Source organism: Homo sapiens, chromosome 9 (assembly GCF_000001405.40).
Source record: "Homo sapiens chromosome 9, GRCh38.p14 Primary Assembly".
In the NCBI taxonomy this organism is placed as follows: Eukaryota; Metazoa; Chordata; class Mammalia; order Primates; family Hominidae; genus Homo; species Homo sapiens.
In genome coordinates this window covers 136,296,294-136,322,110 of record NC_000009.12, presented here as the reverse complement: position 1 = coordinate 136,322,110, position 25,817 = coordinate 136,296,294, and the positions used below count along the sequence as shown (strand labels likewise).

Here is a 25,817-nt window from a genome sequence, read left to right as displayed (position 1 = left end):
AAAAAAAAACTTTAAAAATTTAGCCAGGCATGATGGCACATGCCCGTGATCCCAGCTACTGGAGAGGCTGAGGCAGAAGGATCGCTTGAGCCCAGGAGTTTGAGGCTGCAGTAAGCTGTGATCCTGCGGAGTCAGATCTTGTCTCAAAAAACAAATTAAAAACTCTCCTCAAGCATAACAGGGGCCGTATCCAATTCACGCTGTGGATGTACCACTGTCATTTAGCCAGGTCCTGGCAGGTGGACACCAGGCTGTCCCCTTTCTCCCATCCCCTTGTCGGGGAGAACACCTGTGTCTCTAGGCGCGCAGGGGCCAGCAGAACCACAGCTCCTAGCCCGGGGCCGACGCGGCTGACGCACAAACACCGTTGAACACTGAGAGAGCTTTTTTCCGGGAGGGCCCTGTCCGTCTAGAATGTCGGGGAAGTTCGTCTCTCTGGCCGTGAGGGACCCGGCTCCTGGGCTCAGCCACCGTGCCTTTGAGGGGACAGCACGTTTCAGTCATGGCCTGCAGACAGCCTTGGGACTTTCCTCCAGTGGAGACTCTGAGCAATGTCACCGAGAGGACAGCCTAGCAATCCTGAGGAATGGCAGGGCTTGGGGCATGCAGGGACACGCAGACATGGCAGGGAGGTCCTGGCCTGACCACCAGAGAAAGCATCCAGCCAGCACAAACAGACAGAAAGACATTCCATGCTCATGGATAGGAAGAATCAACACCATGAAAATGGCCATACTGCCCAAAGCAATGTATAGGTTCAATACTATTCTCATTAAACTACCATTGGCATTCTTCACAGATCAGAAAAAAAAACTATTTTAAAATTCATATGGAACCAAAAAAGAGCTCCTATAGCCAAGACAATCCTAAGCAAAAAGAACAAAGCCACACTACCTGACTTCAAACTATACTACAAGGCTACAGTAACCAAAACAGCATGGTACTGGCACAAAAACAGACACATTGACAAATGGAACAGCATAGAGAACTCAGAAATAAAACCACACATCTACAACATCTGATCTTCAACAAACCTGACAAAAACAAGCAATGGGGAAATTATTCCCTATTAAATAAATGGTGCTGAGAGAACTGACTAGTCATATGCAGAAAACTGAAACTGGATCCTTTCCTTACACCTTATACAAAAAGTAACTCAAGATGGGTTAAATAATAAAATGTAAAACTCAAAACTATACAAACCCTAGAAGAATCTAGGTAACACCATTCAAGACATAGGCATGGGCAAAGATTTTATGATGAAATCACCAAAAGCAATTGCAACAAAAGCAAAAATTGACAAATGGGATCTAATTAAACTAAAGAGCTTCTGCACAGCCAAAGAAACTAGCATCAGAGTGAACAGACAACCTACAGAATGGGAGAAAATTTTTGCAATCTATCCATCTGACAAGGCCTAATATCCACAATCTACAAGGAACTTAAGCAAATTTATAAGAAAAAAAGACCTCATTAAAAAGTAGGCAAAGGATATGAATAGACATTTCTCAAAAGAAGACATAATGTGCGGCCAACAAACACATGAAAAAAAGCTCAACATCACTGATCATTAGAGAAATGCAAATCAAAACCGCAACGAGATGCCATCTCATGCCAGTCAGAAGCGTGATTATTAAAAAGTCAAGAAACAACAGATGCTGGCAAGGTTGTGGAGAAATAGGAGCACTTTTACACTGTTGGTGGGAATGTAAATTAGTTCAACCATTGTGGAAGACAGTGTGGCGATTCCTCGAAGATTTAGAACCAGGAATACCGTCTGACCCATCAGTCCCATTACTGGGTATATACCCAAAGGAATAGAAATCATTCTATTATAAAGACACATGCATGCGTATGTTCACTGCAGCACTGTTCACAATAGCAAGGACATGAAATCAACCCCAATGTCCATCAGTGACAGACTGGATAAAGTAAATGTGGTATGTATACACCATGGAATACTATGCAGCCATAAAAAGGAACGAGATCATGTCCTTTGCAGGGATGTGAGGGAGCTGGAAGCCATTATCCTCAGCAAACTAATGCAGGAAGAGAGAACCAAATACTGCATGTTCTCACATATATGGGAGCTGAACAATGAGAACACATGGATACAGGGAGGGAAACAACACACACTGGGGCCAGTCAGGTGAGGGCGGTGGGGGAGAGCATTAGGAAAAATAGCTAATGCATGCAGGGCTTAATACCTAGGTGATGGGTTGATAGGTACAGCAAACCTATCAGGGCCCGGCCTCATGACCTCATGTAACCTTCGTCACTTCCTTACTCCAAGTTTGCCCACACGGTGGGTGAGGGCTCCAGCTTATGAATTGTGGGACACAAACGTGTATCCATGGCACACATTTACCTGTGTAACAAACCCGTCATCCTGCGTGTGTATCCTGGAGCTTAAAATTAAATTAAATTAAAAAAAGAAAGGGGGCCGGGTGCCTGTAATCCCAGCACTTTGGAAGGCTGAGGCGGGTGGATCACCAGAGGTCAGGAGTTCGAGACTACCCTGGCTAACATGGTAAAACCCCGTCTCTACTGAAAATACAAAATAAGCCGGGTGTGGTGGTACGCGCCTGTAATCCCAGCTATTCGGGAGGCTGAGGCAGGAGAATCGCTTGAACCAAGGAGGCGGAGGTTGCAATGAGCCGAGATTGCGCCATTGCACTCCAGCCTGAGTGACAGAGCACAACTCTGTCTCAAAAAAAAAAAAAAAAAAAGAAAGGGTCCAGCCAGGGTGTCGGCTCAGGCCCAGTTCAGCGGCTCACAAGCGGAGGCCTTGGTCCCAAGACAGGAGGAAGGCCCAGTTCCCAGCCCCCAGCCTTCCCCCACTTCATGTGTGGCTTCAGACCCTGCAACCCTGAGCCACTCACGGGGCAGCCAGATGGGCCAGAGGGGCACATGCCAGTCCCGCAGCGGGCACAGCAGTGCAGGGAGGACAATGCCAGGTGTTGGGACCACTTCACCATGAGGACAGGGCCAGGGAAGGGCAGAGCGGGGGCTGTGCTCAGGTTGGCCTGGGCCTTATGGGGAGCATGGGGTGGAGGCGACCAGGCACCCTGGGAGCTGAGTGGGTGCTACTCCAGGTGGTCTCAGGAAGCCCCGAGTCTGCCTTGCTGGGCCTCCGAGGCCCATGCTGGGCTCACTGTTGGCAGTGGACATGTCCTGCCAGATGGCCATGAGGTGCAAGGCGGGGCTCCTCCCAGGCCACAGTGCCAGCCTCAGTTGGGCCCCACCCTGCGCCCGCCCTGCGTCTGTCTGATGGACTGTCTGACCGTGATGACACTGAAGGAGCGCACCCCCGCCCGGCCCCACCCACCCTCGCAGAGTCTCTCCCCTGAGCCTCTGCTGAGCGGTTTCCACCCTGGGCCCAGTGACCCGCTGCTGGTTGCCATGAAAACCTGCAACCTCTGCAGCAGCCCCCTCCCTACTTCTGCAGGCTGCGGGGGCTCCTCTCCCCTGGGCCCAGGGCCTCCAGGGTCAGCCTAACAGGCGTCTGGGGAGGGCAGACTGAGTTTCCTGTGCAGGTGCGTCAGCTTTGAGCCCCTCGCACACCCCACTGCATCGACTCAGGGAGTTTGTTTGCATCTCAAACTGTGCATCACAGAGGTCAGGGGCCAGGGAGGAGACCCCGCTGTGGAATTGCACGGCTGGGGAGGAGTGCAGCATGGAGAGAGACAGGGAACAGAGCTGGACCGCTTGCTGGGTCCCTGAGAGTTTGCCTGTCTGCCATCATGGCCACTTTGTGGGTGAACTACTGGCCAGCGGGGGTGGCTGATGCCCGGCGGGCCGGACGGTGCCGTGTGCATGGCTTCTCAGTGTCTCGGCAGATGCTCTCTGGAGGGTACAGACTGTGATACAAAGACCGTGCACTGTTCTGCTCCCAGGAGTCCCCCACACCCCGCACACCTCTGCCCAGGCCTCCCAGGAGCCCACTCGCACCCCACAAGCCTCTGCCCAGGCCTCCTTTCCCTGACGGCTCCATCTTTTTCTTGAAGATTCCTAACCAGCCAGAGAGGCCATTTGCCTCGGCCCATGACTCCATTTTTATTCTCCCCTCAGGCTGCGTCCCTTCCCCCACGCGAGGGTGACCGGGGCAGTGTCAGAGTCCCCCTGAGGGTGACTGCACCACAGCCTTCCAGAGCCTCCCCAGAGGCACTGGCATGCAGCTGCGCCCATTTCGGTGCTCCCTGAGCCCATCCATCCGTAACCCAAGCCTGGCCAGCTACCCCTCCTCCAGCGGTCCTGGGAGAGCCCCCGAGGGTGGGTGGGCCCTGCGGGACTGGGCCTGGGCACCTGCCCACACTGTGGTGCCTTCTGCCTTCCCCACGTCTGTCCTCACGCGTCCACGTCCATTGCACAGCGAACTCTGCTGGGCATGCCACCTTAGGGTTGGGTGGGCCTGGCTGTGCCAGCTCACGTTGGGCAGCTCTTGCCACCTCATGCCCTGACATGCCTGGCCAGGTGTCTGTCTCCACTGGGGTCCAGTAGCCCAGCAGGACTTGGTTTTCAAAAGCTGTGTGTCTTGGTCTGCGTGGGCTGGTGTGGCAAGTCACCATAGGAAGGTGGCTTAAATGACTGCTCATTCCTCACAGCCCTGGGGCTGCCAGGGTGAGGTCAAGGTTCTCTGATTCAGTTTCTGGTGAGGGCTGGGTCCTGACAGAGAGAGAGCCATCCCCGTGCTGTGTCCTCATGCGGCCTCTCCTGGGGTGGTGAGAGTCAGCTCTCTAGTGTGTGTCCTTCTTAGGACACCAGCCCCATCTGATCAGAGTCTGGCCTTGGGACCTCCTGTCACCTTCGTCACTTCCTTACTCCGACTGCCCACGCAGAGGGTGAGGGCTCCAACCTATGAACTGTGGGACACACATTCACTCCATAGCAGTGCGTGGCTCCCTGCCCTGCTGTAGATGAAAGCCTCGCTCAGAACCCTGGGGCCTGGGCTGAGATTCTCATGCTGGGCCTTGCCATGAGCCCCTGGCCCCATTTCCCATCCCTGCTGTGGGCAACACCAGCAGGTCTGCCAGCCGCGATGGCCCCGGGAGGGCTCTCTGCTCCTCAGCCTGGGCCTGCCGCCGAGTCCTTCCCTGCTGTGTGTCCTCCTCCTGCCACCTGGGACAGGGTCAGAGCATATTCCTCAGTGTGGCTGTGCTGCCTCCCAGAACCCAACAGGCCTCCAGGGTCTGTGCTTCTTTCCTTGCAGCAGGTGGTGCAGAGACAACCATCTGGCTTTCACTTTGGAGGAGAGGCCCAGGAACATCCCAGCAACTGAACAACACCCTGGCCACCACGCAATACCCCAACCTCCGAGCAACACTCCAACCACCAAGCAACACTCAGACCACCAAGCAACACCCTGACCATGGAGCGACACCCCAGCCACCAAGCGACGCCCCAACCACCGGGTGATGCCCCAACTGCCAAAAAACACCGCGACCTCCTAGGAACACCCTGGCTACTGAGCAGCACCCCGACCTCTGAGCAACAACCTGACCACGGAGCAACACCCCGACCACCAAGAAACACCCTGACCACCAAGCAACACCCCAACCACCAAACAACACCCCAACCACCATGCAACACCCCAGCCACCACGCAACACCCTGACCACCAAACAACACCCCAACCAACACCCCGACCATGGAGAGACACCCCAACCACCGAGTGATGCCCTGACTGCCGAGCGACACCTCGACTGCTGAGCAACACCCTGACCTCCGAGGAACACCCCGGCCACCGAGCAACACCCCGACCACCGAGCAACACCCCAGCCACCGCACAACACCCTGACCACCAAACAACACCCCGACCACTGAGCAACTCCTCGACCTCTGAGCAACACCCCAGCCACTGCGTAACACCCCGACCACTGAGCAACTCCCCGACCACTGAGCAACTCCCCGACCTCCGAGCAACACCCCAATCACCACCCCTCTAAATACTTTATGGATGAGGTAGGCCTCGGAATCTTTCCAGGTTTTCAACCATCATGGCACTGTGGATGAGTGCTGGGCACACCGCTGCCGCCCGAGACCACTGCCCTGTTGGATGCATGTGTATCCCAGAGGCCTTTTCTCACCCAGCCCTTCCCCATGGAATCATAATTAGAGCTCTTATCCTGCAGATCAAGGGTCCAATGTGGGGGCCCCAGTGGCCCCCTCCACACATGTCAATCCCAGCCCTCATTTAGAGCCTGGGGTAAGGACCACTGCGAACTGCAGCTTGGGCAGAACTCCGCCAATGACTGCTCCAATGTGGGGGCATGATGACATTCTGGGTCTCTGGGTATCTGTGTCACCCTGACCCCACTGTCCTCAAATGTCCAGCAGTCCCCTATCCCAGCGCAGGTCCTATAGGTCCCTGTGGAGAAGGGCTGGCCAGAATATTGCATGTCCCTCCTGGTAACCTCTTCAATCAACATTTCCAGGTCTAAAGACTGGCTCAGGTCCAAACCCCAGCAAAGACTGTGACTTTTTATTGGGGCTACCGCCATCAGTCACTCATCCTTCATTTACTCTGCTAGTACAAGTTGACAACTGCCCATCTATCCTGCCCCAGGGACACCATGTTTATCATCTCCATAACTCTCCAGGGTGATGCCCCTCTGACCCTTCCATTAATTAGGATATTTGCAATCTCATAGCAGTTAAGCATCACCCTCCAGCCTCTGTTATTTTAGGATCTTCTCATCTCTATTGCTGTCTGTAACAGCCCCTGGCCTTCAGGGGAGTCCCCATTGACCTCATTGGAGGTGCTGGTGTCCTTCTGACCAGCGCCAGCCATGCGGCCTTGATGAGTTGTAAGTGGTCTATCCTGGAGCACAAGTCTTTGGTGGGTCTTTCTGGACACACAGTTCATGGTATTTCCAGGCTGGCATGCTTTGGACTTTTCAAGAGCAACTCCAGGAGCTAGAAGACAGTGTGGAAAGGCCTTTAGAGTTCTCCAGGAAAATGTCTCCCAATTTGGACTTCTATACCCAGCCAAACTAACCATCCAGTGCTCACACGGCAGGTGGTATAAAGACACCTTCAGGCATGTGCCCTTTCTCATGGAGCCACTTGAGGGACGTGGTGCCCCAAACAAAGGAGCCTAACTACAAAGAGAAGAGGGAACAGGGGGTTCCCCTCAGAGCAGAAGCACTGGGAGGCCCAGAATGACCCTGCTGGGGAGATCCTGGGATGCCACCCTTCCTCTGGCATCAGCCCAGTTTGGAGCAGGGGAGAAGATTCTGGAGGAATTTCTTCCAGAAGACTGAAGTGATAATACCTGCCTCAGATGTTTGTATGTACACAGGAAATTTAGACAATTGGAAGAAAATTTGAGGCTGAGTTATTCATAAGCACCGAAAATTACACAATCCAAGGGGAAAGCAAGAGGAAAAGTATTTGTAGACCCTATAGGGTCAGCTGTAAATAGTGTTTTCATGTAAATTCTGAATATTGAGTTTATGAGGAGGGTGGGAAGGACATATGTGGTCAGACAAGCCAAGAGGTGGGGGTGCACGGGGAACCCCTAAACCTGACAGGTCAGGGAGCGGCCATAGGAGTGTGCTTTTTAGTGGCACAGAGTAAACACCGAAGGAGTCTGCTAGAAATGGGAGTGCTTGCTTCTGGGAAAGGAGAAGGAAATTATTTTTCATAGGAAGCCCCATAGCATTATTTGGCTGTTTTGCAAAAACACTTGTAATACCAATTTATCTACTTTTTGCCCTGCCCCCGTGGTGGGGGGAAGCACATCACACCCCTCTATTGTGGGAAAAGACTCACTGCAGCCTCTCACAGCAGGAGGGCAGGGAGCAGGGAGGGCTCTCCTTTTGTTTGAGGTGGGATCTCACTCTGTTGCCCAGGCTGGAGTGTAATGGTGCAATGTCAGCTCTCTGTAGCCTTGACCTCCCAGGCTCAAGTGATCCTCCCACCTCGGCCTCCCGAGTATCTGGGACCACAGGCACATGCCACCACACCTGGCTGATTTTTAAATTTTTTTGTAGAGCTAGGGTCTTGCCATGTCTCCCAGGACAGTTTCAAACTCCTGGCATCAAACTATCCTCCCGCCTCAGCCTCTGAAAGTACAGGAATACAGGTGTGAGCCACCATGCCCAGCCAGGGGCTCTCTTCTGAGCAACATGGAGCCATACACAGCTCCTGCCAGAGCTCTCCCCTGAGCCGGCTGCTGGGGCCACCCCCTGTAGACATGGAGGAAGGCTGCTTTGGGGCTGGCACAACTGCTGAAGTGCATGGGGACCCTCGGCCTGCACCTGGAACCCTGACCCCAGGGCTCTGTGGGAGTGGGGCCTGCTGAGGGCTGGGTGGTATTTGAGCTCTGTGATCACGCAGGCTCTTGTTGGTAACACTGTGAACCCTCATGAAGCCAACACCCCAGACAGGCCTCAGGGGCTGCTCCCTCTCGTCAGAGAACAGGTGAGCGTAGGGAGGAACTGGTGTGTCCCCATGGCAGCACTGCTGTCTCGTTTTGTCCACTTGGGGGCCACAACCCAGCATGAAGGGACGCGGGTAGGGGATGGTTGGGACACTCAGTAGGAATTTGCCTCCTCTTGCAGGTCTCAGGCTCTGTGCACAGCCCTGGGCCAGGTGAACATCCCCCTGCTTCTCTGACATTGATGGACAAAGTCAGGCTGTCTCCAAAAGCCCACCCAGGACGGCACAAACCTGAGCCCATCCGCGGTGGGAATAAACCCACGAGGGCCTCATCTGGGATACCTGGACACCTCCTGGCCGTGTTGAGGCCAACGGTCCAAGAAGCTCCTGCGGGGGCTGCCTGGCCCCGGCCGCCTGCCCAAGGATAGGGGCCACCTGCAGCATGGCCTTGCCTGGGACAGGGTTGAGCAACCTCTGGGGAGCAAGGGACTGTTGCCCCCAGCTGCTTGCAGAGGGGCAGGACACCCTGAGTGCTGGAGAGACCAGGCCACCTCCCAGCCTTTGCCCCCAGCTCCAATCTGAACACCAAAAGGAGTTTCTCGGCAACAGATTTGTTTTCGTAGGGCGATTTTCTGGGTTGGAAGGACACATTTTCTTTTTCTTTTTTTTTGTTTTTTGAGACGGAGTCTCGCTCTGTCCCCCAGGCTGGAGTGCAGTGACACAATCTCGGCTCACTGCAAGCTCCGCCTCCCGGGTTCACGCCATTCTCCTGCCTCAGCCTCCCGAGTAGCTGGGACTACAGGCACCCGCCATCACGCGCAGCTAATTTTTTGTATTTTTATTGGAGACGGGGGTTTCACCGTGTTAGCCAGGATGGTCTCGATCTCCTGACCTCGTGATCCACCCGCCTTGTACTCCCAAAGTGCTGGGATTACAGGCGTTAGCCGCCGCATCCAGCTAAGGGACACATTTTCTGGGGGGCAGGTGATGAGTGTCAGGGACCTCACCCTCTCCACAGGCAGCACAGCCCTGCGGGCAACCCCACCAGGATGGGGAGAGGGTGCCACCTGCTGGCACCCCCATGGCCATGTAGGTCCCCTGGGAGAACCCTGGATTTTCAGGGGTCAGACAGGCTGCCTGTCCCTAAGGGGACCCCTGGGCCCCAAGGCGCCCGCTTTGGGAGTGGGGCAGGGAGTGGGGGCAGCACGTCCTGTCCTGCAAACTAATTAGCACCCTTAGTTGAAAAACTGGCCTAATGGCCTACGGGGAAGCTCGGCATACAAGGACCCAGCGACCCAACACCCTGAGTAGGGGCCGTGGGGCCCAGCAGGAGAGGGAGGCCGGCAGCCGGGCCCCCCACAGCCCTCCCGTTACTACTCCTCCCCCGACTGACCACCCCAGCCTGGCTAAGTTTTAACTTGTTTTGGTAGTAGATAGGTTCTACTCCAGCAGCCGAGTGGCCTTCAGGGTTGAGTTTGGTGCCACTGGACTCGGCTGTGCCTCTGTCAGTCCCCTGGCCAGGCCCAAAGTGCCCCATGGGCCCCCCTTCAACAGAACTGCTTCGAGGTTCGGAAGCAGCTCCGGACTGGAAGCCTGCAGCTGCTGGGCCCTGCTGGCTGGGTGGGGGGTCCCCGGAGAGGATGTAGAAATGAGGGGTGCAGCAAGCTGGGAGGGCTTGCTGGGGACTCTGATGGCCCCGCCCTCCCCTGCTGTTCTTCGGGAGCACAGCAGGGGCATGGGCGGGGTGCCCCGAGTGCGTGCCTACCCCCTGCCAGCCAGGGTGGGGTCCTTGGTGGTGCCTGGAGACCCTTCCCCTGCTCTGTCCCCCACAGCCCCTCAGGGCCTAGCAGGGTGGAGCGCCCCAGGTGTGTGCCCCACCCCATCCTGCCCACAGCAGGGCTGGGGGGCCGGGGGGCGGGCATCGTACAGGTGAGGCCCCTGGTGAGTGCTGGGGCTGCGCAGGGCTCTGAAGCTTCCGGGGAGGAGCCCGCACAGACGCCTCAGGGTTTCTCTGGCAACAACGTCCCTCCCCTCCCTGGAGGCGCCAGCTCCCAGGGTTCTTGTGTGCTCAGGGCAGTGGCCTTTGAGTCACAGGTGCCTCCCATGACGGACAGGGAGGCCTGGGCCTTCCAGCGGGTGAGTAGGGGGCTTCTACCTGAGCCCCACCCAGTCCTTCCCAAGCACCAGCAGAGGGGCCTGGGGCTGGAGAGCCAGCAGGGTTGATGGGTGGGGCTGAAAGGGCACAGACCGGTGAGGAGGGGCTTAGACTTGCCTTTTCCAGGAACTTAGCCGGGAGAGACCAGCCCACACTCCTCCATCCAGCTCCCCTGGGTAGGGGAGGGGGTCTTCCCACCTAGGGGCTCCCTCTGAGGGCTTGGGGCCTCCTCAGAGGCATAGCCAGGCTATCTCCAGGAGAGGAATTTCTCCTTCCCCACCCACTGGGCTGCCCCGCCTCTGGGCTCAGGTCCCACGTGGGGCCCTGGGATGAAGTCGTCATGTAATGAACTCAGTTTCCCCATCTGTGAAATGGGGATAAACACTGCCCAGCCCCAGATGGCTGATGCCTGGTCCTGCATTTGGTCCTGCTGGGCAGCGTGTGGTAGAGGTGGAGGCAGCCGGCTGACAGAGGCTCACCACTGTACCCCCACAAAGGGGGCCCAGCAGACCGTTCTGCACCCCGAGGCGGGGATGTCGTGGCTCCTCTCCTGGTGGCATCCCATGCCGGCCGCTGCCGGGTCCCAGGCTCCACAGCTGCATGGTTGCCTGGGAAACATGCTGGGCACAGGGCTGGGTGCCCGGGCCACGCAGGCTTGGGAGACGTTGCTATCCACAGTGGCCCTGGGGGGTGCCGGGTGGCCTGCTGCGGGGACTGCCGCCCTCACGCTTTGCTGCCGTGGCTGTGGCCTCTCCTTGGCGGGGGTGGACGGTGTCTCCCAGCAGCTCTGAGCCACCCGTGTGTGCCGTAGGCCAGGGCCTTTTATTAGGGGCTGCGTCACCACACTTGGCGGCTGGCCGAGGGCGTTGCAGGGGCTGGGGCCCAGAGGGTGGGGGGTGCCAGCAGCTGTGACCCCGGGTCCTACCTGTCACTCCTCTGAGGGCCACTCTCCCTGTGATTTCTCTCCACCTCATCTCACCCCTTTCAGAGTTTCCGTCTGCCTTCTCCCGTGGCACCCTCCCCTAGGGTCTTCACAAATCACTGGCTGTTGTGCCACTTCCTTCCCACCCTTGCATCTGCCACCTCCATGTGGCCCAGTCCCCCCGTGCCCCAGGGGAGTGGTTGGTGTCTAGAGCCGTCTACAGCATCATGGGGTAGCCAAAGCTGGAGGGGCAGGTGCCTGGACTCAGTCACCCTAGCAGCCTGGGCTGGCCTTGCCTGCCCTGCAGACCCGGGCAGGCGTGTGTGTGTGTTGTATGTGAATGTGTGTACAGTGTGTGTTGTCTGGGTATTCGCGTTGTGTGATGTGTGCATGTGGAATATATGTGATGTGTGGTCTGTGTATTGTGTGCCTGTGTGTGTTGTGTATCTCATGTGTGTGCATGGTGTGTGTGTGATGTGTGTATCTGTTGTGTGTGCACACTGTGTGTCTGTGTATCTGTGTGTGTTGTGTTTGTGCGTCTCTGTGTGTATGTGTTTGTGTGTGGTGTGTGTGCACTGTGTGTATCTGTGTGTATTATGTGCGTTGTGTGTCTGTGTGTTGTTTGTGTGTGGTGTGTGTTCTGCATGTGTATGTATCTGTGTGTTGTGTTTGTGTGTCTGTGTGTGTTTTTGTGTGGTGTGTGTGTACTGTGTGTATCTGTGTGTGTTGTGTGCATTGTGTGTGTTGTGTTTGTGTGTGGTGTGTGTGCACTGTGTGTATCTGTGTATTGTGTTTGTGTGTGTATGTGTTTGTGTGTGGTGTGCGTGCACCGCGTGTGTATGTATCTGTGTGTGTTGTGTGTCTGTGTGTGTTGTGTTTGTGTGGGTGTGTGTGCTGTGTGTTGAATATCACAGGGGGCATGTGCTTTTGGGTGTATGGGTCCCCAGGTGCCCAGGCGTCCTCGTCCCCTGCGGGTCATTTCCCCGCACCTGGGTCAGCCCCTGGAGAGCTGGCGCTGCTGGAAGGGCTTCTCTTGGGACACTGGAAACCTGCCCCTTTCCTCGATGCCTGGTGGCCTCAGGGCATGGCTGAGGGTGGCTGGAGCCCCTGGCCAGGGTGCAGGGCCAGCCTGGTGTGTCTGCTGCTGGGGGCCACTGCTTGGCACCCAGGGCTGGGGCTGGGGACGTGGAGGCTGGGTGCCATGCTGGGTGCCATGCTCACGTCCAGGCCTGTGCTCGGCTGCTGTGGCTGCGGAGGGCTCTGTGGTCTCCAGCCCTGGGCCCCATGAGGCAGGGGCGTGGCGGGCACCTCTCCTTCACGGCCCGCTGGTTCCATCCCCCAGGCCTGCTTGGGCCTGCCCAGGGTTTGCTTTTCTAGGTTGAGGCGGTGCCAAGTAAACAGCGTCACTAATTAGAGCAGAGCTGCCACCAGCTTCCAGGAGGAAGCCCCCCACCCTGCCACCCACCCAGCCCCGCCAGCCAAGACCGCAGCAGTAGTGCGGCATATGCCACAGGCTGGAGAGCCAACAGGCTTCCACGGCGGCAGCCGGCTGCGCTTGCCGTGGGAGGTGCCACCTGCAGGCTACACCTGTACGGAGCTGGGCAGAGGTGTGTGGTGTGTGTTGTGTGTGTTGTGTGTGTTGTGTGCATGTTGTCTCTGTGTGTTGTGTACATTGCCTGCATGTGTGGTGTGTGTGTGTTATGTGTTTTTTCCATGTATTGTGTGTCTGGTGTGTGTTTGTGTGTGTAATGTGTGTATAATGGATGTTGTCAGTGTGTGAGATGTGTGTTGTCTGTGCTGTGTGTTCTGTGTGTAATGTGTGTTGTGTGTGTGTGATGTGTGTATAATATGGATGTGATGTGTTGTTTGTGTGTGTGCATGATGTCTGTGTGCAATGTGTGTTGTGTCTGTGAGTTTGTGTGTCTGCATGTGGTGTGTGTGTCTGTGTGATTGTGTTGTGTGTATGTGTGATATGTGTTTGTGTTGTGTGGTGTGTGTGTTATCTGTGTGTTATGTGTGTAATGTGTGTCTGTGTTGTGCGTTTGTGTGTGGTGTGTGTGTTGTCTGTGTGTTATGTGTGATGTGTATTGTCTGTGTATTGTGTTTGTATGAAGTGTGTGTATTGTGTGATGTATGTGGTTTCTGTGTGTTGTGTGTGTTGTCTGTGTATTGTGTGTGTGATGTGTATTGTCTGTGTGTTGTGTTTGTGAGTTGTCTGTGTGTTGTGTGTGGTGTGTTTCTGTGTGTTGTGTGTGATGTGTATTGTCTGTGTGTTGTGTGTCTGTGTTGTGTGATGTATGTGGTGTGTTTCTGTGTATTGTGTGTAATGTGTGTTGTCTGTGTGAAGTGTGTGTGTTGTGTGTCTGTGTGTTATGTGAGTTGTCTGTGTGAAGTGTGTGTGTTGTGTGTCTGTGTGTTATGTGATGAGTGTGGTGTGTGTTTCTGTGTGTTGTCTGTGTATCGTGTATGTGTGACATGTATTGTCTGTGTGTTGTGTGTCTGTGTTGTGTGATGTGTGTGGTGTGCGTTTCTGTGTATTGTGTGTGAGATATGTGTTGTCTGTGTTGTGTGTATGAGTGTGTATTGTGTGTCTGTTGTGTGATGTGTGTGGTGTGCGTTTCTATGTATTGTGTGTGTGATATGTGTTGTCTGTGTTGTGTGTATGAAGTGTGTGTTGTGTGTCTGTTGTGTGATGTGTGTGGTGTGCGTTTCTGTGTATTGTGTGTGTGATATGTGTTGTCTGTGTTGTGTGTATGAAGTGTGTGTTGTGTGTCTGTTGTGTGATGTGTGTGGTGTGTGTTTCTGTGTATTGTGTGTGATATGTGTTGTCTGTGTTGTGTGTGAAGTGTATATTGTGTGTGCATTGTGTGATGTGTGTGGTGTGTGTTTCTGTGTGTTGTGTGTGGTGTGTGTCTATGTGAAGTGTGTTGTCTGTGTATCGTGTGTGTGATGTGGATTGTCCTTGTGTTGTGTGTCTGTGTGTGTTGTGTGATGTGTATGGTGTGTGTTTCTGTGTGTTGGTCTGTGTGTGTTGTGTGATCTGTGTGGTGTGTCTGTGTGTTGTGTGTGGTGTATGTCTGTGTAGTGTGTGTGAGATGTGTGTGTTATGCATTGTGTATGGCATATGGTGTGTGTGTTGCGTGTCTGTGTGTGATGTGTGTTTGTGTGTGTTGTGTGGTGTGGTGTGTGTTGTATGTCTGTATTGTGTGTGCTGTGTGTATGGTGTGTGTTGTGTGTGGTGCATGCAGTGTGTGTGTGCTTTGTGTGTGGTGTGAGTGTTGTGTGTGTGCTTTATTGTGTGTGGTGTGTGTGTGCATGTGTATTGTGTGTGGTGCATGTAGTATGTGTGGTGTGTGTGTACTTTTATGTGTTGTGTGTGTGTGTGCTGTGTGTTGTGTATCACGGGGAGGCATGTGCTTTTGGGTGTGCGGAGCCCACAGTGCCCGGGCATCCTCGTCCCCTGCGCGTCATTTCCCTCCACCTGGGTCACCCCTGGGAGCTGGTGCTGCTGGGAGGGCTTCTCCTGGGCCCTGGAAACCTGCCCTTTTCCTTTCCTGGGCGCGGAGCTGCCCTTTGAGGACAGAGGTGCCGTCTTGGTCCCTCCCTGGCCTCCTTTCTCCCCCCGCCCCAGCCCCAGGGTGAGCACTGTGTACTCCATGTGTCTTCTGACTCCCAGGAGCCCCAGCAGCCAGGGCTGACTCTCCGCCCACTTTACAGAGGGGAAGACCCGTGTCCAGCGGGTTGAACGACTGGCCCGCCATCACCGGCCTCAGAGACAGCCGCATGTCTGGGCCAGTCACGGCTCTTGGCCTCTGGGCCCCACCGTTGCTGGGAAGGGGAGGTGTGTGGCTGTTCTGTGGGGTTTTCATCCCAGCCCCTCCCAGCCGAGGAGCCATCCCCATGCAGTGGCTCTGCGTGGTGCTGGGACCCCAGGTGGCTGCTGCTCTCTCCTGGCCTTGGGGACATGGAAGGTGTAGGACAGCTTGGCACGCCCGGCCTTCTGACCCTGCTGGGACCCTGGACACATGACTTAGGCTGAGCCTCATCCGCTGGTTAAGTGGAAGTAGCACCTGTTTTTCTCTGGTGGGATTGCCCTGAGACGACGTAAGATAAGTCATCAAGCATTTGCCACGGCGCGTGGTGCACTGGGGGCCCTGGAACGCTCTTCCAGCGATAAGCATCTGCACGCCAGTGTGTGCCATGGGCAAGGCTACTTCCTGCCCCCAGGGGACCGTCCCCCCAGGGAGGGAGGCTCAGGAGGGGTGACAGAGGTCCCAGGAGGGGAACTGCATGTGCCTCACTGAGCTGGACTGGAGCATGGTGGGTGGAGTGGAGAGAGCAGTGTGGCTGCGGAGAGGCCAGGAGCTGAGGTGCAGGGTCTGAATGGGTACGGACCCAGCTAGGCCCGGAGTAGGGTGGGGATGTGGCTGGCTGGGCCTGGCTGCAGGGCTCCCGTGCTGCTGGGGACAGGGGGGCCTGGCCTGCCCAGGGGATACCCCTTGACTCAGGCTGCAGCCTCTGCCCAGTGGCCTTCTTGGAGCCTTGCTGCTCCTGTCCACCCCATGCAGAGTAGCCCCGAGCCTCGTACCCCAGCAGGCGTGAGTCTCCTGGGGGCAGGGCAGGGGCGCCAGCCGGTGCAGGCTGTGAGCGGTCCCCGTGGCACGGACAACATCGGCAGAGGGTCCTGGACAGGTGGACCCGCCTTCGGGAGCTGACGTGTGTCTCCTGATTCAGAGCTGCGTCTGGAAGCCTCAGCTGGTGACCAGGCCAGGGAGGCAGACGCTCCGCTGTCCCCCAGGGCAGGTGGGGAGGAGAAGGAAGGAAGCCGGTGGTGGGGGCAACTCGCAGGACCTCGCGATGCTCTGCTCGCTGGGTTTGCTTTTCCGTTCCCAGGCATTTGCTGTCATGATTTTGTTCCCAGTCACAGCGACGCATTTCCACGCATTTATGATGCACCTTCTTCCAGAGCCTCCAGGCAGCTGCTGAGTGGCTGGGTGGTTTTCCTGCTCATGGGAGAAAGGGAGCCACCAGACTTGGCCTCTTCTGCTCAGGAGGACCCTGCCCCTGTCCCTTCATGGGAGCAGGGCTGAGAGCCCAGGACCACAGCTGATTTGGGAGCCTGAAGGCCTGGCAGGGAGGTGGCAACCCGTCAGCAGGGGGGCCAGGCCTGTGCACCACTCGGATGGCCCTGGGAAGCAGAGGCTGCAGAGGGGTCCCTGGGCAGGGCGAGGCTCTGTAGGAATGGAAGGGGGCTGGAAGTGGAGCTGCCTTCTGGGTGCCTGAGAGCCGTTCAGGCTCCGAGGGTGGGGGGACCCTGTGGTCACACCGCTGGTTCCCTGAAGCTCCCTGTAACATCCCAGACATGTTCCCCAGGGTGTAACAGCCCGAGGCTCATCCTTGTCCCTGCCTCATCACAGGAAAGGGCTCATGCCCTGGCGCTAGGAGGGTGCAGACAGGCCAGGTGGGGCTGGAGGTGGCCGCACCTCACATTATACGCAGGGCCTGCCTGTCTTTGGATGGCTCCTCTCTCCCTCCCCTCCGAGGCTGCTGGTGGCTCAGCCTCTGTGCCCTGGATGCCCGTGGCTGTGCCTGCCGGCAGCCAGGGCCCCGTTTGGCTTGGAATCTCCCCTGGGCCCCGTGCCTATGTGGGGCTGGGCTTGGGCGGTGTCTCCAGGCGTTTGCCTGGCGGTTCCAGAGGACAGGTTCTATAGCGTGAGCCTGGAGGAGGGCCCTCCATCCTTCGTGCCTTCCTAGACTTAAGAGGTCTTTCGCGCAGACCTCCCTTCTCTGGGGCCACTTGGGAAGGGTCAACTTAAGGGCCATTCCTGGAACAAATCCGTGCTCATGATCATCGCAGCTCCGTGCCACTGCCACCTCCCGCGGGGATGGACTCACCAGGGGCTCACAATGGTGAGCATTGGGGGAGGGGGTGGTCCCCAGGCTCCAAGGTGGCACTGCCAGTGGGGGTGGGGAAGGAGCTGGGAGGGAACTGGGATCTGAGTCTGAGTTCCCCTCAGGGACTGCAGAGCCATGTCCTCCCCACCACACTGCCGTGTCACGGACCCACTGGGATGTGCAGGGTCCGAGGAGGCCAGCGGGGGCTCCTGACCTGGGGCAGCACCTGGCATCTCTGCCACTGTCACTGTGGGCAAAGGGTGTCTTCTGGCCTGCACCAGGGTGAGCCCAGAAGCCAGCGCCCCTTCCCCTGCCCAGCCCCATGGAACTGAGAGATGGTGGCTGATGTGTTTCTGTTGGGATGTCTGGGCTGGGCCCCACAGCTGCTGGGACCTCTGTGCCTCAGACTGAATTGAACCTAACCCTGACCTGGGGTTAGGCCCCGCCCCCACCAACCAGAAACTTGCCCAACACTGACCCCACAAGCCCAGCCCGGCCCCATTCCCTCCCTGCATGTCATTCTGGGCCTGGGCGGACTGGGTGGGGCACCGCTGAGAGCCCCATCAGGAGCTGAAGGCCAGAGGCTCTGTCGCTGAGTGACAAGGTTATTATGCTGTCACGGGGCCAGCCGGAACTCTCCCCCACCCCACCAAGAGACAGCTCATTAGGAAGGCCCCCAGCTGTGGCCAGCCCAGGGCCGGGCTGCCCACCGTGCCAGCCCAGTTTCAATGACCCACCTGAGGGTTTCCATCGTGGGCCAGGGGACCGGCGCAGGCGGGCATCCGGAGCCAGGCAGTGGCCAGCCCATCCCGGGCAGGGTCATAGGTGGGGCTGCAGGCCTCGAAGCCGCCATGTGAAGGCAGCAGCGACCCCAGGCAGGGCGGGCCAGGTTGACCTTGCACCTGCTCTCCCCTCAGCCCCGCGGCCATGCCGACCCTGGTCGTGGGCACGCCGCCCACCTGCCTGGGGGACACACCTCAGCCCTGCCACAAGAACAGCCAGAGGCAGGGCCCCTTCTCCCATGGGGCCCCAGGGAGAGCAGCCGACTGGAAGGCTGTTGCCAAGCCCAGGTAGCATCTGCGTGGACTTAGGCGGGGGGCTGCACTGCTGGCAGGTGCCATGCCTGCCGCTGGAGGCAGCGGCTCTGTGGGAGGTACAAGGGCGTGGGGTCAGAGTGACGTGCCTGCCTCTGCACGTGCCTTTGGGCAGGCAGCCCGGCCTCTCTGAGACTCAGTTTCTCCATCTGTAAATCGGGCCGATCACATTACCTACCTCAGAGGGGTGTGGTCAGGGCTTGAGAGAGAATGCCGGGGCTGTCCTCCAGGTGGGGTGTATTCCAGGCCCTCCTTTCCACCTCCAGTCTGTGGAGCAGGAATGCCCGGGGAGGTGGGGCCAGTCTGAGCGGCTCTGCTCGGCACCTCTGCGCCTGCATGTCTGACCGGCATGTCTGCCGTTCCCTCCCAGGCTCTGCGCACCTGCAGCTGAGGATGACGTGGCAGCCCTGAGGTGGCCCGGGCCCTCCCAGCAGCCAGACCCACCCTGGGCAGCTCCCCACGTGGTCGGGTCTGACGACCTCAAGGAACCAGGACCCTGGGGGAAGGCGTGCAGCCTGCCCATGTGGTCCACAGGCCCGGAGGCTAGGGATGGGGACAGCTCGGTGTCATCGGGCCGCCTCTCGTGCTCTTCGGGGGGCCACGACGTGTGTGTGTCTTGGAAGGAGAGGCCACCCCAGGTGTTGGGGCCCCAGCAGAGGCCCAGAAAGAGTGACGCGCGGCTGGAGCAGCTGAGAGACAAGATCCGGGCCCAGGCGTGGCAGCAGGGGAGCTGTGCGTCCCTGGGCACCTCAGCCCCCTCCAGCGCCTCCAGACTCCACAAAGCCTCCACGCTGATGCTTAGGAGGAAAGGCCAAGAGGCAAAAAATCCCCCTCCAGCCCCTGAATGCTCAGGTCAGTGGCCACTTTGCCAGAGAGGGGCAGGAGGGCTGCGAGGCTGTCGGGAGGGTGGAAAGCGGGCAGGATCGGGCTGTGCTGGACACGTGGTGGGGGCCAGCCGGGTGTATGCAGCGTGCCCCCAGGGTGGGGATTAGGAGTCATGAAGGGGTGCTTCTGAGCTGGGTCCATGATGAGGATCCCTCCCTGGAGACGACAGAGGAGCGGTGGAGATGCCAGCGCCCAGGAGGGAGGGGCACACAGGGCCTGTGGCACTGGAAGAGGGGGCCTGGTCCCTGGACCTAGAGTCTGTGCCTTTGTCCCTGTAGCCTTGGGGGGCTGCATGGTCAGATTTGTGGGGGCTTAGGTCAGGAGCGCCCTAAAAAGTCAGCCTGGGATTTGGAAAGTCTGGCAGCTTCCCTCCTGCAGGGACAGGGGGTGGGAGTGTGGTGGGGGGGTCTTGTCCTTGGAAGGGTGAGGGGTGGGAGGGGTAACTAAAGAAGTTTGGAAACGGCTTCCCTCTTGGAGTGATGTTGAGAGCCAGTCCTGTGGATTCTCTGTGTCCAGGTATTTAACTCTTTTCCTAAGAAAACAGGGAAGATGTTTTCCTCCTTTAATTTTACATTTATTTTTTATTTTTTTGAGATGGAGTCTCGCTCTGTCACCCAGGCTGGAGTATGGTGCAATCTCATTGCGGGTTCAAGCGATTCTCCTGCCTCAGCCTCCCGAGTAGCTGGGATTACAGGCACCCGTCACTATGCCTGGCTAATTTTCGTATTTTTAGTAGAGACGGGGTTTCACCATGTTGGCCAGGCTGGCCTCGAAATCCTGACCTCATGATCCGCCCACCTCGGCCTCCCAAAGTGCTGGGATTATAGGTGTGAGCCACGGTGCCCAGCCTCCTCTATTTTTAAGATAACTTCTGATTAAAAAAAATATGTAGTCCGGGAGCGGTGGCTGATGCCTGTAATCCCAGCACTTTGAGAAGCTGAGGCGGGCAGATCACGAGGTCTGGAGATCGAGACTATCCTGGCTAACATGGTAAAACCCCATCTCTACCAAAAATACAAAAAAAACTAGCTGGGCATGGTGGCGGGCGCCTGTAGTCCCAGCTACTCAGGAGGCTGAGGCAGGAGAATGGCGTGAATCCAGGAGGCGGAGCTTGCAGTGAGTCGAGATTGCGCCACTGCACTCCAGCCTGGGCGACAGAGCGAGACTTCGTCTCAAAAAAAAAAAAAAAAAAGTAACGTATGCATAACATAAAATGTACCATCTTAACCATTTTAAAGTGCATGATTCCATGTCACTGAGCACATTCACGGTCCTGCAGCCACCACCCTCCGTCTCCAGGACTGTTCATCTTCCCAAACTGAAGCTCTGTCCCCATGAAACACTCACCCCCGTCCCCTCCCAGCCCCGGGACCCTTCATCCTACTTCCTGTCTCTGTAGCTCTGACAACTCTGGGGACCTCCTATCAGTGGAATCACAGAATTTGTCCTTTTGTGACTTTGTTTTTTTAAGGCAGTGCATGTTTTCGTAGCGGTGGGAGGTATAATAAGCACAAATAATGAATAAAATGGAATAAAAATCATTCCAATTCCCCATGTACCTTCCTCCCCCAACCTGCCTGAGCGAATACTTTGGGGTGCACCCCTCTAAGTCATTACTTCCCTTTGCAAGAACAGGAGTTGAATCCCATACTGTGGTACCTCCTTCCTGGTGCTACGTGGTCCAAATCCCACCCAGGGCACAGCATGAAGGCGCGCAGGGCCTGGCTCACTGCTGGTGGCTCCGCGGAGCCACTGCCAGAGGCGTTTCTGTGTGAGATGCCTGCGTCGTGCCAAGCGCTGGTGCAGCTCCTGATGGCCCCACTGGATGCATTCTCAGGCCTGGAACATTGGTCAGATGTGCTATTCAAAAGTTTTTGAGGCTGGGCGCGGTGGCTCACGCCTGTAATCCCAGCACTTTGGGAGGCTGAGGTGGGCAGATCACGTGAGGTCAGGAGTTCGAGACTAGCCTGGCCAACATGGGTGAAACCCCGTCTCTACTAAAAATACAAAAAAATTAGCCAGGTGTTGTGGCAGGCGTCTGTAATCCCAGTTACTCGGGAGGCTGAGGTAGGAGAATCGCTTGAATCTGGGAGGTGGAGGTTGCAGTGAGCTGAGATCACACCATGGCACTCCAGCCTGGGCGACAGAGCTAGTCTCCGCCTCAGAAAAAAAAAAAAAAGTCTTTTGAAATACAAAAATTAGCCAAGCGTGGTGGCCAGCACCTGTTGGCCCAACTACTCGGGAGGCTGAGGCAGGAGACTCGCTTGAACCCAAGAGGCGGAGGTTGTAGTGAGCTGAGATTGCGCCATTGCACTCCAGCTTGGGTGACAGAGTGAGACCCTGTCTCAAGTAAATAAATAAATAAATGCTCTTGAGCTGCTGCCAAACTGGAACCTTTTCTTGGAAGTTCTTTGCGGATCTCTCTTCTCACGCTGCCTTCTTCTTTTCACCCTGTTCCAGGTTTCAGCATCTTGAGTGCAGCTGAGCGCAGAGTTGAAGCCAAGGCATCCCACGGCCAGGGGCGCGAGCTCTCCAGGGTCTCCCAGCACCAGGTTCCTGGTGAGCGGCTCTGCGGCGGCTGCCCTGGTGCTCCGGGTTGGATGCTCAGGCCATGATGGGGGCAGCACATGCTGGGCCACCCTCACAGACAAAGACACTGAGGGTCAGGGAGGACCCCAACTGGAAAGAGGCCAAGGGGGGATTTGGAGCCAGACTGCCATTCTCTGGAGCCTGTGTTCTAACCCTCTGCCTCTCCAGTGGGGCAGGACCCAGGCAGGCCCTGCAGGGCAGGGGAGCTGAGCAGGGGCATTTTTTGTTGTTGTTGTTTGTTTGTTTTTGCTGAGAGATCTCCTGCACAGAACAGGCAAGGAGTTTTCTGTGTGGCTGCATGCCAGCCACAGGGAGTGGGTCTGGGGCCCTCCAGGTCCCTGCCAGCTCCTGGGCTCACTTTTCCGTCTTGTAGATGGGAGGCACTGCCCCCCCAGCCCACAGATGGGGAAACGCTGAACCGTTGGCGGGCTCCCAGGCCCGTGAGGAAGGGGCTGGGGCCAAGGGCCCCACCAGGTTTTTGCTTACTCATTTGCTCAACAAATGGAAGGGGTAGGATGGAGGGGGCAGGAGCTGCTTCTGGGGGCTGGAGGATGTGGCCTTCATCCCGGGCAATGGGAGCCATTAAGGTCTAGGCAGGGAATGGCCGTGAGCTGGGCTTGGGCAGGCTCACTCTGCTGCTGGGGCAAAATGGATGCAGGAGGCTCTCTCGAGTCCAGAGACAGGCAGACGCCGGCAAGATTCCTGAGGCCCAGAATGAAGGATGGGGAGCTTGGGAGCGGAGGCGTTTCGGGCTCAGCACAGGGAATCATGTGCGTTTTTGTGGGGACAGTTGCTGTCCATCCCAGCGGTGCAGTGCCGGCCGGGTGGGTCCAGGTCGGTGGTTTCTCCGTGAGGTCTGGTTGGGCAGCAGCCACAGGCAGGCATTTGGGTGTGTCCCTCCCATGTGGAGTGTGAGCCAGTGCAGATGTGGGCGGGGTCCAGGGCTGGCCCCTCGGAGAGCAGGGGACAGAGCCATCTCCCTGACCCCACAGTTGCCGGGGAACTCCTGTCCATCCAGATCCGGTTCCGCCTGAGCCCTGTGGTCAGCGCCACTTTGTTCCTCCCTCCTCCGCCTTCCAGGGGGACCCCAATGGCATCAGCTTGGTGACCACTTTCTCTGCCCCTGCCCCAGGTCAAGTTCAGGGTCCAGCAATGGGTCACTCAGGGACCTCAACCACCCCATCCTATCAGTCACCGGCTCCTGGCAGCCTCGTTTTCACGCTCCGAGTTTGAGAACTCTCCAGAAGCAGGCATGGAGGAGGCCCTTTTTTAAAGTGCCCAGTTCAGTGGCGCTGAGCACATTCATAGCACTGTGCAGCCATTGCCAGCCTCTGTTTCTAGAACTTTCCATCTTCCCAAACTGAAACTCTGTCCCCACTTACTCTCCATCCCTCTCCCCCAGCCCCTGGCACCTACCTTCCTACTTCCTGTCTCTATGGGCCTAGTGACTCTGGGGACCGCATAGAGTGGGATCACAGTCTGTGTCCCTTGCAGAGGACCTGGCTCTTGAGGCTCCTCCTGCCAGCAGAGTTGGGGCCTGGAAAACCAAGAGACAGGCCCAGCCTGGACCAAGTGGCGTTTGGAGGCCCAGACGCCTTTGGGCCAGGGTCCTCTTCTGTGGTTCCCCACCCATGGGGACAAGGCAGGTTCTCGCATGGCGGCTTCCCAGATACTCCCCCACCCCAGCTGTGCAGAGACTAAAGGAAGTCGGAAGCAGGGAAAGATGACCAGCCAGCCTCTGGAGCCGGGCCCTCTCGGTGGCCGCTGCACTCGCTGCGGGACTTTGAACAAACTCCGCCCCCTCGGGCTCTCCATCTCCTCCCCATCGGCAGAGGGGTCCACTCCATGGTGCCAAGGCCCCCCCAGGTCTGGCCCTCACTCCTCCTGGCCCTGGTCCCAGAGATGTTCAGTCCGGCCGCTGCCACTCTGTGCATTCACTTGGGGCCTGGCCCGTCCAGTCATTCATTCAGTCAGCAAACAGTCCTGAGTGCCCATGGCCCGGGCCCCCAGCTGGGTGCTGGATTCAGAGATGAGAAACTGGTTCCTGTCCTCAGGACCTCTGGGCCTGGAGGGGAGGCCACCAGACACTCGGGAGGGAATTTGAATAGGTATGCCTGCCTCTCTAAGGAGGAGTCCCCAGCGGCAGTCCCCAGGCAGAGCACTGCAGGGGACGTGACAGTCAGACTGTGGCCTGTCCCCAGCGTTAGCTGCCCACCCTGGCTCTCGCCAAGCAGGGAGCAGGACTGGCAATGTGTATGGCTCTAGGGACTGTGTTTGCACAGGACCCCGGGGTAGCCACGTGGGGGGCCCGTGTGTCACTTTACTGCTCACCCTCCCTCCCTCCCTTCCTTTCTCTTCCTCACTGAAGTTCTGAGGGAAAAACCCAAAAGGGTCAAAAGCAGTTCTTGCAAAAGAGAGAAGACCCCCAAGTTGCCCTCCCCTAGAAGAGCGGCCAAAGACAAACACAAAGACGAAGGTAAGGTTTGCTATTTTGGGGCCCTGGCACGCTAGGTGCATATGATCCTGGCACTCTAGGTAGGCAGATGGCTTTCATTTCTGGGGCTGGGGCTGGGGCTGGCCAGTCGGACTGCCATGTACACAGGGTTCTGCAGGGCACCTGGGATCGGCAGGCCCGGCTGGAGCGTCAGGGCTGGTGTCCCAGGCAACTGGTGACCTTGGCCACCACTGGAGCAGCAGGTGGTTCCTGTCCGGGCAGGGGCGTGTCCCTTGAGACAAAGTGAAAGTCCACCAAACACCAGGCACTATTGTCCTCTCAACACCCAGAGACTGGGCGAGTCTAAGAAAACAGAGCTGTTCAACCACACTGTAGCATGCACTGGCAGCTCACGGTACCCGCAGCTCACACCACCTGCAGCTCACACCACCCGCAGCTCACACCACCCGCAGCTCACGGCACCCGTAGCTCAGGGCACCTACACCCCATGGCACCCGCAGCTCAGGACACCCACAGCCCATGGCACCCGCAACTCACGGCACCCACAGCCTACGCCACCCACAGCTCACGCCACCTGCAGCTCACGCCACCTGCAGCTCACGGCTCTTCAGAGCAGTAACAGATACTGGCATGTGTGCACATGCAGTGGGCAGCTCAGGGCACGCTTGGCCGAGGGAGCCGTGCTTGCTTTCTTTGTCACACGTTCACATTTAGTGAGCAAGCCCAGGGCATCTCCTTCCACCTGCACACTTGGGGGTGGGAGAGGGTCTTCCGCAGACCCCACTCCCTCCAGTAGCTTGGGGACTTTGTGCAGGCACAGGGGGTGTGTGAGTCAGCCATGTGCTTGCATTACGATTAATTTCATGCGTGTTTCCCGGAGAGTCCAGTCAGGTAATCCTGTGGGTGGATCCCAGTGGTCACAGAGGAATTTCTGATCCAGGCATCTCCCTGCTGAGGACTGGGCAGAGGTGTCAGTGCCCTGCAGAGACCCAGCGGCCCAGCCTGGGCATGGGTTTCAGAGCTTGCAGGGCGAACCTGACAGCGGCCCCTGCCCTTGAGCGGGTGGGTGGCAGGCAGAGTCCCTCTGGGGCTTCCTTCTGGGGCGTCTTCGAGGTCAGGGGAGTGGCCAGTGCCCGCACTCTGTGAGCTCACTGCAGCCTCCTGGTTCCCCGCCAAGGTTGGCAGTCTTGCTCCCATTTTGTAGATGAGGCAACCGAGGTTCACAGAGTTTCCACAGCCTGCCCGGGGCTGCACAGAGGCAGAGCCTCCCACCCGTCCAGCCCAAGGCCGGTGCTCCTAACCTGGAAGCCCAGCCGTGTGCACCTGGGGCCACGCCTGGGCAGCTTGTCGAGGCCACCCTCCAGGCGTGGATTCTGGGGCCACCGAACCACAGCGTTTTGGAGACACCAGCAAGAGCCCCCAGGTGGAGTGAACGCCTGAG

General features: G+C 57.5%; 1 protein-coding gene across 20 annotated transcripts in view, besides 2 other annotated features; it reads left to right on the top strand.

The window, feature by feature from the left end:
- Positions 12,524–12,573: a silencer, noted in NCBI's record as "silent region_20507". NCBI's record gives its function as "represses an Ori minimal core promoter by ATAC-STARR-seq in GM12878 lymphoblastoid cells {active_cell/tissue: GM12878}" and the evidence as "EXISTENCE:reporter gene assay evidence [ECO:0000049][PMID:35858748]".
- Positions 15,210–25,817, top strand: part of CCDC187 (coiled-coil domain containing 187) — a 56,929-nt gene continuing 46,321 nt past the window's right edge. For 19 of the 20 annotated variants that reach the window (XR_007061299.1, XR_007061300.1, XR_929795.3 and 16 more), the window contains exons 1-4: positions 18,017–18,423; positions 18,818–19,299; positions 21,793–21,891; positions 24,290–24,397. Coding sequence is in view for 16 of the 20 variants with exons in the window: in XM_047423386.1 (XP_047279342.1) it covers positions 18,281–18,423; positions 18,818–19,299; positions 21,793–21,891; positions 24,290–24,397 (832 nt within the window). In the remaining 4 variants the exon portion in view is untranslated. Of the gene's footprint in view, positions 15,300–18,016; positions 18,424–18,817; positions 19,300–21,792; positions 21,892–24,289; positions 24,398–25,817 lie in introns of those variants that run through there. The other variant, NM_001291516.1, reaches the window with a different exon arrangement.
- Positions 15,445–15,534: an enhancer, noted in NCBI's record as "active region_29304". NCBI's record gives its function as "activates an Ori minimal core promoter by ATAC-STARR-seq in GM12878 lymphoblastoid cells {active_cell/tissue: GM12878}" and the evidence as "EXISTENCE:reporter gene assay evidence [ECO:0000049][PMID:35858748]".